Source organism: Homo sapiens, chromosome 17 (genome assembly GCF_000001405.40).
Source record: "Homo sapiens chromosome 17, GRCh38.p14 Primary Assembly".
Lineage (NCBI taxonomy): Eukaryota > Metazoa > Chordata > Mammalia > Primates > Hominidae > Homo > Homo sapiens.
In genome coordinates, this window is record NC_000017.11 from 12969185 (window position 1) to 12981678 (window position 12494).

Here is a 12494-nt window from a genome sequence, read left to right on the forward strand (position 1 = left end):
TGGGGTCTTCCTAGCATCTCTATCATGCTGTGCCTGATGTCAGCAGTAGAGTATCCTTTTCCCCCCTTTATCAACATATTTTAGACCTGCGTTCATTCTCTTTCTTTCTCTGAGGAGATTTTCAAAAACAAGTCATATGCGCTTGGCACCTATAAGCACAAAGCATTCTCATTGACACTACATCTTACTGATTTCTTAGTAAGAGCTAAGGGCTTTATGGCCACAGTTTCATTGGCTCCTTACAACAAATCGAAGGAAGAGAAGCATATTATTCCATTTTACAAAGGATGATTCGAGGATAATCAGATAGAACTCCTCCATATTATAGAGTTAGTCATTGGAAAATCTAGGATTCATACCCAAATTCTCTGCTTTCAAAGCCCTGCTGTCCTGAGCTGGAGAGGCTGTGGAGTCACCACGTTATACCCAAAAAACACAAGCCAGATACTAGGCCTTTATATTCCGTCCATCAAGGTGTTGTCTGATGCTCTGCATCTCCAGCTTGTCCACATCATAAAACACCATTGGCTTAGCTAGCTAGACCCTACTACAACCCACTGTATGACCGCTCAGCTTCTGCCACCAGGTCATGGTGCAAGGACATGCTAAATACATCTCAGCACTCAATAATTGATAAACTATCTTCATGGAAATGCCGGAAACAGGAAGGGAGGTATTAGCTCCATTCTATGGGTGAAGAGAGAGCTCTACTGAGTCAGCAAATGGTTAACTGGGACTAGAGGCCTGGGTCGTTCTAGAACCTATTCCATGATACCATCTCATGAAAAATACCCACGTTTCCATTATGATAAATCCTATGCAAATATAAGATGCTGGCAGGCAGGGAAGATTGTTCTTCAGTGGGTCTACCTTGCCAAAATGAGGACTTATCACCTGACTCCCATCCTGTGCATCTCAATGATGAGCAGTGTCAATTCTGGATTCCCTGCCCCTTGTCTTCTTACTCTGAGAGAGAGCAGTGGTCCAGCCTGGGTAACATGGTGAAACTCATCTCTAAAAAAATTATGAAAATTAGCCAGATGTGGTGGCATGTGCCTGTATTCCAAGCTACTCAGGAGGCTGAGATGAGAAGATCACTTGAACCCGAGAAGTTGGGGCTGCAGTGAGCCATGATTATGTCACTGCAGTCCAGCCTGGGCGACAGAGCAAGACCCTGTCTCAAAAAAAAAAAAAAAAAAAAAAAGAAAAAGAAGAGAAGAGAAAAGAAAAAAGAAGCAGTGGAGAGAATCACCTCAGGTTCCACTCCCCAGATTCTGTAGGCTCCCTACCTCCTGCTTAGTGATTTCTAAGCCCTTTGCTTCACATAGATTCTTGCTGGCCTCTGACTTCTTGCTTTCACCTTGATTCAACTATAAAGGGATCTAAAAGCCAAATTGTTTTCAGTTTTCAGCAGAAGCCTGGGAAATCTTTGCCATCTAGATTGTCCTTAGGTATCCATGCAGGGATGTCTGCTGGAGTCAGATATGTTTTATTAATTCCACTTCTTTATTGCTCCTTTCTTAAGAAACAGCAGCAGTGCCTTGATTCCAGCTACTGTTTCTTTATGCAATAAAACAATGAACAGAAGCTTGTGAACTGCTGATATAACCTTCTAGTTGGATCCCCGATCTGTGAATAGATTCCCCTTCTTGGCAGCATACTGAGCAATTTTATTATTTCTGTCTTCAGGTTGAGTTTTATCTAGACATTTGAACATTTACATATACCATCTTGCTTTGGAAGGTAAATGCACTTTTAGGCTTCCAACAGCATTGCTGCTGCCGTTGTGATTGATTTACTGTGTAAAGATTTATATTACTGTTTGAAAATGTCAGTGAACATTTGATGTGAATTCACAGTGGAACATGTGATGCTCCCTCTTATGAGAAAGTCATTTCAGCTGGGAAAGTCGTGATTGCATATGGCACTGTAGCCTCTTTACAAGAGGAGAAGTAGCACGTTGAACCCATATTTCTCAGTTGCCGAAGTTTGCCAGTGTTATTTAGCAAGTCTCGCCCAGTACCTACCCCATGCCCAAGCTGACACCTTCCCTTGGTAAACCAGAAGATCACCAAGGAGGCTGGTGTCTGAGATTCCTGATGCTAGAAGGTACTGTTGGGGAAATAGAAGGCATCCCCCACCAGCTTTGGCCCAGACCTTCTCACCAGGTGGGAAAGCCTTTTTCAAGTAGAAGAGAAAGGGGCAAGGAAGAGAAGGTGGGGTAGGACTTAGATTTTTAGGACTCCTTGTGCTGGTCACCATGTGAAACATCTCACATGCCCGAAATCCTCACCAACCATTGCAACTAAGTGGTATCAGTTCCGTTCCCTAAGAGGAATGTTAAGCTCTTTGTTCTTTTCATCCTGATACATTCTGAAGCCTGCAGACCACAGTTCGATGATCTTCGGCAGCCCGCTGTAAATACCAGGGGATGTAACCAGACTGTGTCCCAGAGTTTCAAGTGGCCTCCAAAAGCATTTCTGGGTATCGTATAGGAAGTGTTTGTTTATTGGTAGAAGGTTCTCAGACCCCAGATGACTTTGGAAACTATTGGGTCCAGGAAAGAGACATCCCTCCCCTTTCCCTCCATCCCTGGTGCCTCCTTGAAGCCATCCAGCGGAGATGAGAAATACCAGCAATCGTACTAGACATGAGAAGGCCTCTGGTGATGGAAGGAAGGGGATCAGGAAGCCCTCCCATGCCAGTGTGTGCTTGGTTTCAGCATCACTCCCCATATTTCCTTAAAACAGCTAAATCCCACCATCCCACCTTCTGCAACCAAATCTCCATACTTGAACTTTTTCTGTTATTAAATCTTGCTGTACCTCTACAAGGTAAATATGACCTTTCTAGGTGAGCAGGATTTCATGGTGTAATAGTTTTGTGCTTCTGACTAGTGTAGGTGACCATTTGGCAGGGAGGAGGTGAAAGTGAGCACATCATAGTCCTCATACACCTATCTCTCTGTGCAGATACGTGATAGAGACAAATGCTGGTTGGGAGTATATGTTTTCTCCCTGAATGAATGAATGTTTCTCCCTTAATGCTAGAAATGTGAGCCCTTACCTTAGTCAATGAGTCAATGAAACCTTGGCTGAGATGACAGCAGCAGTACCTCCTAGACCAGAGGAAAGGGAACTAACCACCTGCTAGTCTATGTAACTTAGAAGTCAGTGGATAAGGCCAGGCGTGGTGGCTCACACCTGTAATCCCAGCACTTTGGGAGGCTGAGGCGAATGGATCACCTGAGGTCAGGAGTTTGAGACCAGCCTGGCCAAGATGGTTAAACCCTGTCTCTACTAAAAATACAAAAATTAGCTGGGTGTGGTGGCGGGTGCCTGTAATCCCAGCTACTCGGGAGGCTGAGGCAGGAGAATTGCTTGAACCCAGGAGGCAGAGGTTGCAGTGAGTGGAGATCGCACCATTGCACTCCAGCCTGGGTGACAAGAGCGAAACTCTGTCTCAAATAAATAAATAAATATTTTTTTTTTTTTTGAGACGGAGTCTCACTCTGTCACCCAGGCTGGAGTGCACCGTCGCAGTCTCGGCTCACTGCAAGCTCCACCTCCTGGGTTCATGCCATTCTCCTGCCTCAGCCTCCCGAATAGCTGGGACTACAGGTGCCTGCCACCACTCCCGGCTAATTTTTTGTATTTTTAGTAGAGATGGGGTTTCACCATGTTAGCCAGGATGGTCTCAATCTCCTGACCTCATGATCCACCAGCCTCGGCCTCCCAAAGTGCTGGGATTACAGATGTGAGCCATGGCGCCTGGTCATAAATAAGTAAAATGTTTTTTTAAAAAAAGAAGTGAGCAGATGACTACTTTTACCAGTTTCTTTCTTCCTTCTGCCTCTTTCTTCCCCATGCCACACCAATATCAACTCTTCAGCTGCTCTCTTTACCTGTGTGCATGGTAGGGTATGACTTACACTTACACAAATAGGAGAGTCACTTTAGAGAGACCAACTAAATTGTAATAATTTTATAGCACAATAAAAATCCCACCCCAAGACCCTGGACCATGGAGAGAGACCCCTTACAGAAAGACAACCTTTATGTCCAAAGGAAGGCCTAGATTTTTTGAAACTAATATCTGTATGTTTCTGTCCCTGCAGCCTTAGGAAAATCCAAAGGTATGGTATCCTCTGGTAGCTATGAGGCCATGCTCAGTCTCTTCAACTGAGCCACCTATGCATCGTAGTGAGTTCCACCAGAGGGTGAATGCGCCGCGTCTGGTTGCTTGGCCGACTTATTTGAAGCTGTGTGCCCATCATTAAAATAGAATCAGAGCCCAGAGGGACCATAGGCACAAGCAGCCCCTTCCCTGCTGTGTAGACAAGTGGGAGTGGCCTGCAGAGGTGTGCCTTGGCCAGGGTCCCAGCAGTGGTGGAGCTGGGGCTAGACTCCAAGTTACAAAAAGAAGGATTCATATTTAGATGTCTCCTGCTGTCAGTTCCACGCTCCCCCCTTCGCTGCCCCTCCCACCTCGTCTTGCACTTGGGAGGAGTGAGTGTCCCTGCCCCCCCAGTTAGGCCACACACCGCTGTGAGGAAGGCTGGCAGTTTACACCCAGGGAGCTTGCCGGGCCATCATCCTGAGCTGGCTTTGGCAGAGGGTTGAAGCACAGCTTGTGGCCGCCAGCGCTGCCGACTGTGCCCTGCTCCTTGCCTCAGTGAGGGGGCCGCTCTTGCCAGGACTGGGCTGCCCAGGGCTGTGTCTTGGCCGCCGGGAGCAGCCAGGGTGCTGGGAGCACAGCCCCCAATGCATCGCTTCCCGGGCCCCCGGGGTGCTAAAGCTGCGCTGCTCTTCTCCCAACGCGGACCTGCTTGAATGTGGGGGAGGGAGCCTGTCTCCTGTCATCTGTTACGCGTGGGTAAGCGGTGTCTTTGTGTCCCTCGCCAGCATGGGTGTGAGGGTCATGGACACAAACTGGGTGGCTCGAAGAGGCTCCTCGGCCGGTCGGAAAGTGTCCTGCGCCCCGCCCTCCATGCAGCCTCCCGCCCCGCCCGCCGAGCTGGCTGCGCCCCTGCCTTCGCCGCTGCCGGAGCAGCCCCTGGACAGCCCCGCGGCCCCCGCGCTCTCTCCATCCGGCCTGGGCCTCCAGCCTGGGCCCGAGCGCACCAGGTAAGCGCGGGCCACTGCCGTCCGGGCGGGCTGGTGTGCGGTGCAGGGGGTGTCTGGGTTGGCCGCACTGGAGGCCTCTTGGATTTCGTCGTTTCCCATGCCCCCGCCCCCATTTCTAAGCATTCATATTTGGCTTCTGCGTCGCGCTGGCACCAAGTCAGTCATCCACAGCTGCCTGGATTATCACACGAAGTCCAGTCTTCCCCAGCATAACATCGCAAGCAAGCAGAAGGTGGCAGCTTGCGAAGGCAGGGTGAAGAGTCTTAGGTTCCCCAACTCTGTTTTCCCCTTCCTCTGTCTTTGTCGTTACAGTGGCCCCCCATATCCGTGGGAGATACATGCCAAGACCCCCAGCGCATATCTGAAACAGCTGATAGTCCCAAGCCCTATATATACTGTTATTTTTTCTTATACACACATACCTGTGATAAAGTTTTAATTTATAAATTAGGCACAGTAGGACATAAGCAATAACTGGTAATAAAATAGAAGAATTATAAGCATATGCTGTAATAAAATTATGTGAATGTGGTGTCTCTCAATTTTTTTTTTTTTTCGAGATGGAGTCTCGGTTGGTCGCCCAGGCTGGAGTGCAGAGGCGCGATCTCGACTCACTGCAACCTCCGCCTTACAGGCTCAAGCGATTCTCCTGCCTCAGCCTCCCAAGTAGCTGGGATTACAGGCATGTGCCACCATGCTTGGCTAATTTTTGTATTTTTAGTAGAGATGGGGTTTCACTATGCTGGCCAGGCTGGTCTCAAACTCCTGACTTTAAGTGATCCACCCGCCTCGGCCTCCCAAACTGCTGGGATTACAGGCCTGAGCCACCATGCCTAGCCTGAAAATATTTTATTGAACTGTACGCACCTATTTGGACCACAGTTGACCACAGGTAACTGAAACTACAGAAAGTAAAACCACGGATAAGGGGGACTACTGTATCCTATTTTGAAGTTTACAATTTCTGTGTTTCTCCTTCTCTTTATAGTCATAGCAGCCACTTTTTTTTTTCTTTTGATGCCGCTAAAATGGGTGCAAGTCAGGGAATGAATGGAGGTGGCGGTTGTACTGGGCCTGATGACCTTTGCAGCTTGCCACATGGTTGAATTGCCATTATTTTAGGGGAAGGAAAAAGACAGGAATTCATTCCATGGGTAGCTTGATGAATATTAACTGATAACTTTCTCTTTTTAAAGATAAAAAGATGGCCGGGCACGGTGGCTCACGCCTGTAATCCCAGCACTTTGGGAGGCCGAGGCGGGTGGATCACGAGGTCAGGAGATCGAGACCATCCTGGCTAACACGGTGAAACCCCACCTCTACTAAAAATACAAAAAATTAGCTGGGCGTGGTGGCGGGCGCCTGTAGTCCCAGCTACTGGGGAGGCTGAGGCAGGAGAATGGCGTGAACCCAGGAGGCGGAGCTTGCAGTGAGCCCGGATCGCGCCACTGCACTCCAGCCTGGGTGACAGCGTGACTCCGTCTCAAAAAAAAAAAAAAAAAAAAAAGAAAAAAAGACATGATTGCTGCCCTTAAAAAGTTCACGTTCCAGTGAGCAAACAGGCCCTGACAAATAATGACAGCACTTGGTTATGCATACCCAGGGTGGCAGGGGAGGAGACAGTACCTGGCCCTTCCTTGAAAGGGGCATGATCAGGGGAGGCAGATTCTGGATGTGAGAATTGCACCATGAAACAGCTTTGCTGTTTGTTTCTATCTTTTCTCAAACAGCAATTTAGAACACCAGAAAAGCAATATGAAATCACATGCCACCGTGTCTCCTGTTAGAAGACATGGCATTCCTCCATGACCACTGCCAGAAAAGTTTTGGAGACTTTGGGAAGCTGAATCTTCTAACCCAAATCTTTCTCCAAACACACATGCATACACATGGACACTCATCCTCACACACCATCACCACCAGCACACAAACACACACCCACACCCACACCAACCCCCTACATGAGAGGCTTCCAGGCTTTTTTGTTTTATTTTGTTTAATGAGTAAAAAGTATTTTCACGGCCGGGCACGGTGGCTCACACCTGTAATCCCAGCACTTTGGGAGGCTGAGGCGGGCGGATCACCTGAGGTCAGGAGCTCGTGACCAGCCTGGCCAACATGGTGAAACCCCATCTCTACTAAAAATACAAAAATTAGCTGGGTGCAGTGGTATATGTCTATAGTCCCAGCTACTCAGGAGGCTGAGGCAGGAGAATCGCTTGAACCCAGGAGGCGGAGGTTGCAGTGAGCCGAGATGGTGCCACTGCACTCCAACCTGGGTGACAGAGCGAGACTCTGTGTCAAAAAAAAAAAAAAAAAAAAGTATTTTCACTGTAAAACCAGGAAATGACAAAGGGACAGGGGGTTAGATAGTCTTAGAGCATAGGAGGGGGCACCTGACCCTGGGCATGCTGGGTTGCTGTTGATGACTTCAACTCAGAGGATGCTCGGTCCTGGCTGTGTAATTGCTAGGCCACAGATGGACCTGAGAGATGCAGATGCGGGCACAGTGAGTTCATTGGAGAAGCAGAGTCTGAGAGTGGTGGGCCAGGTGAGGCCGACCAGGAGGAAACGGACCCACAGGCGGGAGATGGGCTGGGACTGCTTCCTTTTTGGACACTCCTCAGCTTCATCCTAGTTTCCCATCTTAGAAAGGGGACTCAGTGCCATATGGTATTTGGCATATAAATGATATTTCTAAAAAGTGCTCCTTGAAGATGGATTCCCCCAGGCTCTGAAGGCATTCCAGGAACATTCTCGGTGGGTGACCTTGCAGAGTTACTTGTGGGCAGGCAATGGCACCCTCTGGTTTCGATTATTTTAAAGCCAACTCACATTGCTCTATAGCCAAATGTCTTTCCCCTTTGCCCGGGCTGACCGGTTTAGTAACTTTTCTTTGGATGTTAGTGTTTTGTGTTTTACACCACTTTTTGTTCTCTCCCCGCATGGGTTTCTCCCAGTACAAACAGGTGTTCCATTGTTTTTGTTTGTGTTGTTTGTTTCTGTTTCCTGGATGTTTGCAGCCCAGATGATGTTCCCTCGAGTGGCCGGATTCTCGTTCTGGCTCCCCCTCCCCTGATGGCAGGCCCTTCCTTGCCTCTGACTGGTTCCCACCTTCCCACTCCCTACCCCAGGCCCCACCTTCAGTTCTTTCCCTGGCTCTGTCCAGCCAGGCTCTGCCTCCACATCCCGCCCAACTGCTTAGCATGAATGCTAACCCCAAAATTCTCCTTCCTGCTTCTTGGCACCAAGGTCATGGGCTGAGTCATGCATCTTCAGAGCTAACTTGTCCTCAAACGTGCCTTAAACATGCCTTGTTCAGGTAGCGCCCCTAGTAGCCGCCCTACGCCCCACCTCTCCCCACTGGGTCAGCTGCACCTATGCTGGAGAAAGAGGACAAGGCTAAGTGGGTAAATACTTGTTTCTGTGCTGGAGGAAGTGTGTCCGGGCCGGGCGTGGTAGCTCACGCCTGCAATCCCAGCACTTTGGGTGGCCGAGGGGGGTGGATCCTGAGGTCAGGAGATCGAGGCCATCCTGGCCAACATGGTGAAACCCCGTCTGTACTATAAATACAAAAATTAGCTGGGTGTGGTGGCACATGCCTTTAATCCTAGCTACTTGGGAGGCTGAGGAAGGAGAATCGCTTGAACCTGGGAGGCAGAGATGACAGTGAGCTGAGATCATGGCACTATACTCCAGCTGGGCAACAGAGCAAGACTCCATCTCAAAAAAAAAAAAAAAAAAAAGTGTGTTTCGTGGCAGGGAACAGAAGGAAGAGCTCATTCCTAGATTCCTTGGATAGATGTGTGTCCAAAGGAAGGAAGAAGAGTCTACCCACCCACAAGAAGCAATTTTTTAGTTTGCTGATTATGAGATGTTTTTGATTGGTTGACTGGCCTTCCTCTTGATAGTGGCAGAGATAGATGGAAGGGTAGGTAGATATTTGGCATTGATGCCCGGGTACCTGGTAACCTGCAGCCTGAGGTCCTTGTCCAGCCTGAGTGAGGCAAGGGTTTTCTGTTTCTGTTTTTCATGAACAGAATAGAGAAAGGAATTACTGCTCTTTTGGTTCCTCTGAATAAAATGGTTTTTGCCCCTTGGGGAACTAGGTATAGTGTGTAAGACTCATCCCAAGTGGGAGAGAATGTGCCTCCACATTGAATGTGATCTTCCTTTTATTTCTTTGCATGAGGAAAATGACCTGTGCTTTGACGCTATGGGCTTCCCCGGCCCAGCTCCCTGCTCCCAGTCTTTCTCACCTCAGTGGACGAGAGTGCTCTATTCCTATTGGAATTTTCTCCAAATTAACACCTGGAGTTTCTAGATCAGTTTAGGAAAGAAATAGGCTGTGCCTGCCTTTTTTTTTTCTTTTCTTTTTTCTTTTTTCTTTTTTTTTTTGACAGGGTCTCCCTCTGTTGCCCAGGCTGGAGTGCAGTGGCACGATCTCAGCTCACTGCAACCTCCATCTCCCGGGTTCAAGCCATCCTCCTGCCTCAGCCTCCCGAGTGGCTGGGATTACAGGCACATGTCACCACGCCCAGCTAATTTTTGCATTTTTAGTGTAGACAGGGTTTCGCCATGTTGGCCAGGCTGGTCTCAAACTCCTGACCTCAGGTGACCTGCCTGCCTCGGCCTCCCAAAGTGCTGGATTACAGGCATGAGCCACCATGCCCGGCCCAGGTTGTGCCTGCTCTTGTGGGATAGAAACAGCCATTGCAGAGGATTTGGGTTCCCAGACTCTTCATGCCCCACCTGTGGGCATCAGAATCCAGGTAGGTTCTAGCACGGATGACAGATGGCTCCCAACTGTGGGGCATCTCCCCTGATTCACTAAAGGCCACCTGGAGAATTTTCTTGGAAAGGATTGAGAACACTGTGGGGGAAGTGTGGAGATCAATTAGTAATATCTACCATCAGCGTATCAGGATGACAAATCCCTGGTTTGTGGTGTAGAGTGAGGTGTCTTCTAATACGTGCTTCATCCTCAGAAGAAGGCTGAGGAACAGCCTTGCAGTAACGATGAATCCTCTTTAGGAAACCTGGTGACCTAGGGTGCCTCATTGTCAATTCCAGAGGTCAGAGGCCAGAGCCCTCACTGCCATCGACCTTCACCTCTCTTGAAGCCTGGGACTGGGACTCAAACTGGCCCACATTTAAGGGCATGGCCTGGATTTCTGTCCACCCTAGCTTCTGCTGGAATGGGTATTGAGTTTGAGGATGAGTCCTAGAATCCCTCCTGCCTGGGGGGTGGCTGGAGGCTCAGGGCAAACAGCTGGAGAGCTGGGCCACAAGCTTGGCAGCAGGAGTCCGTGTCATCAGCACTCGTTGGGCACAGTGGCCCTGAGAAGTCCTCTTGGCTACAGTAGGAAAAGCACTTTGGTGTTCCAGTTTGAGAATGTTCTAGAATTCCTGGGTTGATGGCAGGATACGGTAGAGGTGCTCAGGCCCCTGCCCTCACATTGCTCACGGTCTCCTTGAAGAGAGGAGGGCAGAGGCATGAAAAGGGCATTGGCAGTGAGTGCCAAGTGCCACAGAGATGGGGGCAGAACCCAGGCCATCAGAGCTCCAGGAAGGGCAGTCACCCCAAGGGGCACCTGCGAAGGTTTTAGGAAGGGGCCAAGACAGACCAGAGCTGGGACAGACTTGCACGGGGCCCAGAAGGACACACAGGGTGGCCATCGGCAAGGCTGGTGCTGCCGCTCACTGAGTTCAGGGCTTTTCTTTTGTCTCATGTGCTTTCGTTTCAGCACAACAAAAAGCAAGGAACTTTCTCCAGGCTCTGCACAGAAAGGAAGTCCAGGCTCCAGCCAGGGCACAGCCTGTGCAGGGACTCAACCAGGGGCTCAACCTGGAGCTCAGCCGGGCGCCAGCCCCAGCCCCAGCCAGCCGCCTGCAGACCAGAGTCCTCACACCCTCCGGAAAGGTATGGCCCTGCTTCCCTTCTCCTTGGTCTCAGGCCGGAGGTGGCTGTGACATTCCCTGAAGGCTCGTTTTCCTCTATGAACTTGGATATTGAGAAACTGTGTGGTTTAGTGACTAATTCCCATCTGGACATTAGAGCTTTGGAAGTTAAAAGGGATCCTTTCTCTATTATTCCTCAGTTTACTTATTTGACAGGTGGGCTCATTAGGGGCGTATAGAGGCCAGTGCTTCCCATACACCAAATGATGCCACCAGGGCAAAATTCATTGTCCACAATGATGTGTGTTTTCCAGAGACCTGCCGGGCCCTACCTCTGTCATTTGAAAAGCTGTATAGGGTCATCTACAGGAGTCTCCTTCCCCGCAGGGCAGCCTGGCACAGCTGCCTACCCCTAGATCACTCGTACAGGGTGACAGGAGGGAGTCAGGATAGCTTCTGTAGTACCTGAGTCTCAGCTCTGAATGGCCCAAGAATGGCCACACTGACCAGTTATTATCTCTTCAGATAATCACTTCCAAAAGCTAAAGGTATGCTCCATGTGACATTTCATAAATGGGGAGCTGTACTGAGCGTACTTATCTGAACCTTTTTGGTTTGTTCTTACCTGTGTCATCTCTTTGCAGAGTCTTTCACTCGTCTAAAATAATACATCATCCTGTGTGTTCTAATTTCAGACCACTCGCACTTCTAGGAGCGGCTTTTAACTCCTGGATTTGTCGAATAGGGCCCGGATTTAGCTCATCCACATGTGCCTTCATGACAGGCCCTTTTCCAGCCCCCTTAGTTCCGATCTGCAGTGGCAGTTTCATTCTCTTTGTCTGCCCTCACCAAGCCCGTGGATCTTATTCGATCCCTACTCATTCCTTTTGCATTCTACACAAATTTATTAAATCCTGCTATGTACAGAGCTCTGTGCTTTCCAGAGAGGAAGGCAATGATAAGGCAAAGGTGTTGGCACTGTGCTGGGAGACACTCAGGGTACTGTAAGGACACCTGGGAGCATGCTTTCTCGACTCAGGAGTTAGGACAGGTGGCCCAGCGGAAACGACATCGTGAAGGTTGAATAGGAGTTGGGCCAAAGTGCCGGCGTGAGATTTCAGCATCTCAGAGCATTTCTCCAGCACCAATGGTTTCTCCTTGGTCTAGATGCCATATTCTTGGTTATGTCTTTTTTTTTTTTTTGAGACGAAGTCTTGCTCTTGTGCCCCAGGCTGGAGTGCAATGGCACAATCTCGGCTCACTGCAACCTCCGCCTCCTGGGTTCAAGCGATTCTCCTGCCTCAGCCTCCCAAGTAGCTGAAATTAAAGGCGTCTACCACCACACCTGGCTAATTTTTGTATTTTCAGTAGAGATGGGGTTTCACCATGTTGGCCAGACTGGTCTCGAACTCCTGACCTCAGGTGATCTGCCCACCTCGGCCTCCCAAAGTGCTGGGATTACAGGCG

At 49.3% G+C, this 12494-nt stretch overlaps 1 protein-coding gene across 10 annotated transcripts in view, besides 1 other annotated feature; it reads left to right on the top strand.

Moving 5' to 3' along the window:
* ARHGAP44 (Rho GTPase activating protein 44) overlaps positions 1-12494 on the top strand; it is a 202146-nt gene that overhangs the window by 179687 nt on the left and 9965 nt on the right. For 4 of the 10 annotated variants that reach the window (NM_001321164.2, NM_001321166.2, XM_047437221.1 and 1 more), the window contains 2 exons: positions 4905-5126; positions 10874-11049. The exons of 1 other annotated variant lie outside the window; for it this stretch is intronic. In NM_001321164.2, coding sequence (NP_001308093.1) covers positions 4905-5126; positions 10874-11049 — 398 coding nt within the window. Of the gene's footprint in view, positions 1-4117; positions 4136-4904; positions 5127-10873; positions 11050-12494 lie in introns of all 10 variants that reach the window. 5 more of the 10 variants (NM_001321167.2, NM_014859.6, XM_047437222.1 and 2 more) reach the window with 2 other exon arrangements.
* Positions 8088-8382: a silencer, noted in NCBI's record as "tiled region #8598; K562 Repressive non-DNase unmatched - State 21:Repr". NCBI's record gives its function as "represses a minimal TATA promoter and a strong SV40 promoter by Sharpr-MPRA in K562 cells {active_cell/tissue: K562}" and the evidence as "EXISTENCE:reporter gene assay evidence [ECO:0000049][PMID:27701403]".